The sequence below is a fragment of the Homo sapiens genome, chromosome 3 (genome assembly GCF_000001405.40).
Source record: "Homo sapiens chromosome 3, GRCh38.p14 Primary Assembly".
Classification (NCBI taxonomy): domain Eukaryota; kingdom Metazoa; phylum Chordata; class Mammalia; order Primates; family Hominidae; genus Homo; species Homo sapiens.
In genome coordinates this window covers 189,389,426-189,395,203 of record NC_000003.12, presented here as the reverse complement: position 1 = coordinate 189,395,203, position 5,778 = coordinate 189,389,426, and the positions used below count along the sequence as shown (strand labels likewise).

General features: G+C 39.6%; 1 annotated feature.

The window, feature by feature from the left end:
* Positions 387-596: an enhancer, noted in NCBI's record as "active region_20980". NCBI's record gives its function as "activates an Ori minimal core promoter by ATAC-STARR-seq in GM12878 lymphoblastoid cells {active_cell/tissue: GM12878}" and the evidence as "EXISTENCE:reporter gene assay evidence [ECO:0000049][PMID:35858748]".

The following is a 5,778-nucleotide window of genomic DNA, read 5'->3' as shown; positions in this document are numbered from 1 at the left end:
GAGGCAGCTTGATGAACAAAAAGTCTTGCTAAAGGATAACTTTAATTTGATCATCCTTGAAATTGCAGAATGATATAATTAAATTAAGGGATACCAAAGCATAAGAGAAGTGGAACTGAAGCTTCATAATGAAAGTTTTATCTACACTTCCTTTGTGAATTACGCTTTAACAAAATAAGAGCAACTCTGAATTTTCTAAACGTTGACTTTCCCCAAGTAACAGAATGACCACTGTCAACTCTGACAATCCTAGTTTGACTCGGAGCCTGATATGTCAATTTTCCTTGCCGTGAAGACTCAGATATGTAATTTCTTTCTAAACATTGTGAATAATTAATTCTGTCTGACTAATGACCCAAGATTGGGTAAACGAGAAGAAGAGGAACATTTACTATATAATAGATTAAGTGAGGTCAAGCAAATATGTTTAATGTGAACACCTGCTATTCCACACATAATGAGTTATTTTAGAAGTTTCAAGTTGAATGAGCATAAAAGCCCCTGCGGAAACAGAAATATCTCCACCCAAAACGGTCTCTCTTCTTGCTACACTCTGGGATCTTGCTCTGTTGCTGAAAATGAGCTAAACACAAATGTGACAGTGTACTGTTGGCATTATTCACGTACAGTACAGAACATTATTAAAATGTGATCTTTGCCCTTCCTTCTTTCTCTACATTTGTTCATACCCCAACCTATCTTCTGCTTCATCCACAATTTCAACCAAGCTCCAGAATTCAGCTGTATAGGCTTTGTTTGACTTGAAGGCACTGTTTTTCAGAAAGCTTCTTATACCTGGGCCACACTTTACCTGTGAGGAGTCTCAGCACAGATTGCTGGGTTACTGGGAAGGCCCAGGACTGAAGATCAAGGGATCTGAACTACCATTTTTCCATCTCCCCTCATCTCAAATTTTTATTTCTTAAATTGGAAACAGTCATTACTCAGCTGCTACATCATAGTAAAAACTAAATAGAATTATATTTTAAGATATATTTTGTAAGCTTAAAATGCTATACAAATGTGAGAGATTAAAATTGTCATCCAAGCTTTCTTAGCCAGTTTATATACTTTGTCTTAATTATATTAAAGTTAACTTCACTGTCTTCATTTGTATTATGGGGATAAAAATATTGCATTACCAGAGTGGTTAAAAGAACAAAATGAGTGTTGCACAAGTCTTGGATGTATTAAATGTTAAATAAAAGGTGGTACTCTCGGTAGAAGTACTGGTATTATCAATATTATTCTTATCGATCCATTGCAAAGCAATTGGTGTTTGATCCTAGCCTGTCTACAGGACACAAACGCCCTGGTTGCTGAAGACTCTGCAGAATAGATTGCGCAAAGGATATGATGCAATTGCACAATGTATGTGTAGTAGTACATTGCTCATTTAAATAATAAGTGCAGCCCAGGTCATGGCCTTTGCTTTGTACTAGTACAGCATTACCCTCTGCTAATACGTAAAGCTTTATGAGGCAGCAAGGCTAATCTTTCTTAGGCTCTTAGCCTCAATGAAATGAGGGCTCAGACAGTATCCTGTGTGCATTTTAAGCCATCACTGTCAGTGAACTTAAGCTGTTACTTCTGCCCCTTCCCCTGAAGATGGGGTTGCTACAGGCAAGTAAGTATCATTACCATTTCAGGTATGAGAAATGCTTAGCCTGCCTTTGATTTTAGATCCTAGAACCTGAGAACTGAACAAAACTCTAGAGGTCATTTGGCTCAACCCATTAACTGTCCAGAAGATGAAAGTAGGCCCAGAGAAAAAGTGACTTGCCAAAGGTTAAACAGCTTTTATCAATGCAGAAACCAGGCAAGATTTCCTGACTCCCATCTAGGGCTTGCTTGCTACTTTATTCTTCACTAGTTTAATTTGGTCTCCATTGGCCAAGACCACCTCATTGCTGGCTTTCTGAGGCCAAGCACCTGGGTGGTTTCTTATCTGAGTATTGGACTGCAGCCAGGCATGTGAATGGACAGGGATGGCTGACTCAGACTTTGGAACACTTCATGCCTAAGGGGTAAGGTACAGCCTTAAAGAAGGGTGTGGGCTCTGGGCGCTTCCCCATACCTCCAAAGTTGTGTCAGCATGACTGGCTGAGTAAGGGGGAAGGAGCATGGTCTCATCCTGCAGGGCTCCAGCTAATAGATTCTGGGACGTAGAGCAACTTTGATTACTTAGCCAACTTGGGATATGTTTAACACAGGTAAACAGAGCAGTGAACTAGCAGGGAGACAGTGCAGAAAGAGTGAAAAAGCTTTCTTATTATTCATGCATTTATTCATTTTTGCAAGAGGTATTTATTACACAAATATTCCAGTCTACACAACCAAGTAATATGACCCATATTCTCAAAAATTTTATGGTGAAACATGAGAGATGGCAACTAAAGAGCCAGGCTTTGGCCAGGCGTGGTGGCTCACACCTGTAATCCTAGCACTTTGGAAGGCTGAGGCGAGTGGATCACCTGAGGTCAGGAGTTCAAGACCAGCCTGGCCAACATGGTGAAACCCCGTCTCTACCCAAAATACAAAAATTAGCCAGGTGTGGCGGCGGGCGCCTGTAATCCCAGCTTTACGGGAGGCTGAGGCAGGAGAATTGCTTGAATTCAGGAGACAGAGGTTGCAGTGAGCCGAGATTGCGCCATTGCACTCCAGCCTGGGTGACAGAGGGAGACTCTGTCTCAAAAAATAATAATAAATAAATAAATAAGCCAGATTTTATGCAGTGAGATATGTGCCGTAACAGTGGTGAACACGAGGCATTGTAGAAACTCCAAAGAAGGCTGTATTGGGTGTGTTTGTATTGTGCATGTGTGTGGTGTTCAGGAAGGCTTTCCTGGAGGTGATGTCTGAGCTGAATCTTTAAAGATGCAGAAGGGATATAATGTCAGAGGTGTGAGAAAGCATGGTTGTTCTGGAAAATGGGTAATTCAATATGGCCAGAGAATGGAATCAAAAGTAAGGATTATTACAAGACGCTTGGCATGTCACTTTTAACTGGTAAAAATGGTCCACTTCACCTTGCTACTGAGCAAACAGAAACTTAGGGGGATTAAGCCATTCTCCCAAGACTACCAGAGATATCAAGCACCAAACCAGGATTAGCTCAGATCTTCATTTTTCAAATGCCTTTTATACTATAAACTCCGAAGAAAATATTTAAAATTATCTCCAAGGCTTCCTCAACTTAGAGAAGAAGGAGTAGTTTGGAACTGAAGTCCCATTTTCTTATGGAAACCATGGCATATATGTTGGTTCAGGATCCAAGTTTGTCCTGCACAAAGCAACTCAGCCCATAATGTACCTATAATACTTTACAAAAATAATTACAGTAACTGGCTGTCAAATATAACCAAGTTTGTATAAGAAAATGTGCTTCAATTTGGAATGCTTGAAAAATCTCACCCTCCCGAAGTGGGAGATAGACACTTGCAGATCCTGATTGACAGGGCCCAGGAAACCAGGGAGGATGAATATCCATGAAGAACATGACCATGGGATCCTGGGGACCTGAAAATTGTGGGGCCGAACATCTTTTCTAGGACAAATTCCCCAGGGACACCTTGCAGCCTGCAGTCTTTTGTCTTCTTATCATTTCTTTTCTTCAGAAAACCCTTCCATGATGCCACCCAAGATGTGGGACTATGTTTTTCTCCTCTCTGATGTCCCATAGATCCTTCCTGCCTGCCTGACACAAGCACCAAAAACTTTGGAAGTTCCATTAAAGACTAGAAACTATGAAAAGTTAAGGAATAAAAAGATATCTGGCCAGGTGTGGTGGCTCACGCCTGTAATCCCAACACTTTGGGAGGCAGATCACCTAAGGTCAGGAGTTTGAGACCAGCCTGGTCAACATGGTGAAACCCCATCTCTACTAAAAATACAAAAATTAGCTGGGCGTGGTGGTGGCGCCTGTAGTCCCAGTTACTCTCCTGAGTCTGAGGCAGGAGAATTGCTTGAACCCAGGAGGCGGAAAATGAAAAACAGAGTGAGGGAAAGTTGGCGTGCAGGTGCTTTTCTGTGTCTGAGTCCCTGAGGCCTCCTGTAACCACACTCCTGGGTGCTCAGGAGTAGAAAAGGGGATAGTGGAGAGAAAAACATAATTAAAAAACACATGGCAGTCCCTGCTATTACTGTCCTTTCACCAACGTTATCTTCCTGCTCTAACAATAACAACAAATATATATCTTCTGCTTTAGCAATTCCCCCAAAATGTTTAGCCACTTAAACATTTTAAAATACAATCATTAAATGTGAATCATGGATTACTTCAGTGTAAATACTGGAAGGAATCTCAGAGGTGATTAGTGAAACCTTTTTATTTTACACATAAGGTAACTGAGGTACACAGAGAGATCTGAGATTTTTTCGGGTTCACAAAGGGAGCGAGAGGCACGTGCAGAACCAGAATCTCTCACTTGCCTGACCCCAGACAGAGACACTCTGCTGCTCTGCGCTGCTATTGAAATTGACAGTCAACAGAGCATTTTCAAATGTATTATTCAAAAAACTCTGGGTTTGGCACAACTCAGATGGGTTAAAACGATTTTCCTGAAGCCACACAGTTACTGAGACACCTGTAAACAGACCCCAGATCTCTTAGATTCCAAATCCAATGCCCATAAGACTGTAAAGATGGCCATGTGGAGTTTTCTCCAAAAATGTTTAACCTATGGAATAAGTTGAGAACTTAAAAACAAATGATCACGGTAGACAATTTCCCTTTTGGGTAATCCCGGAGAGCAAAAACAAAATCCCCCCGAAAAATCAAAGCTTTAAATTTGAATGCGCATCCTTTACTAATACACACGGCCTGTGAATTAAGGATGGAGAATTATTCCCTCTGTTTTATGTGTGAAACTGGTTTCATAATGTTTACTTTTTCATTTGTTATTAATTTTGGATCATACCACTAAAAATTAATTAATGTGGATTTCTATTTCTTAAACATAGAAATGAGTTAATATACATGAGAATATTTTTATTAATTTTTTAATTAAAAAACACTCTCATGTACATTAACTCATTTGATGTTATCATTCCTTCAATTAAATTTGTTATTGTTATTATTATTATGATGATCTCCTCTTTTCACTTAAGAAACTGAAGTCCAAAACCTCAAAGTTAATAAACAATAGCAGAAACCTATGTTTTCCGATTCTAAATCTAATAGGTTAAACATTGATTCTGGCATATTTCTAATTATTTTTGTTGTATCTGTTTCAATCTCATGGATAAAAACATTTCACAACCACATTCCCACATAATACTTGTATATTTAATTACCTACTTCCTTCTAGGTAGACAGTGGACCTATAGCTTTCAGGCTGTTGGATCATTATGTGTTGTATAATGATTGGTTTTGCTATAAACACTGCCATTGAAAAGGCTGTCAAAATGCATTCAGAAAGACTCAGCTGCCAAATACAGTAGTCGCCCCTTATTCATGGGAGATATGTTTTAAGACCGCCAGTGGATGCTTGAAACCATGGATAGTATGAAAGCTCACATATACTATGGGTTTTTTTTTTTGACTGATAACCCAGACAACTACGAAGTGACTGACGGGCAGCTAATGTATACAGCGTGGATACACTGGACAAAGGAATGATTCACATGCTGAGCAAGATGGAGCAAGATTTCATTATGCTTTTCAGAATGGTGCACAATTAAAAACTTATGAATTTCTGGAATATTCCATTTAATGCTTTTGGACTGTGGTTAACCACTAGTAACTGAAACAATGGAAAGTGAAACCATGGATGAGAA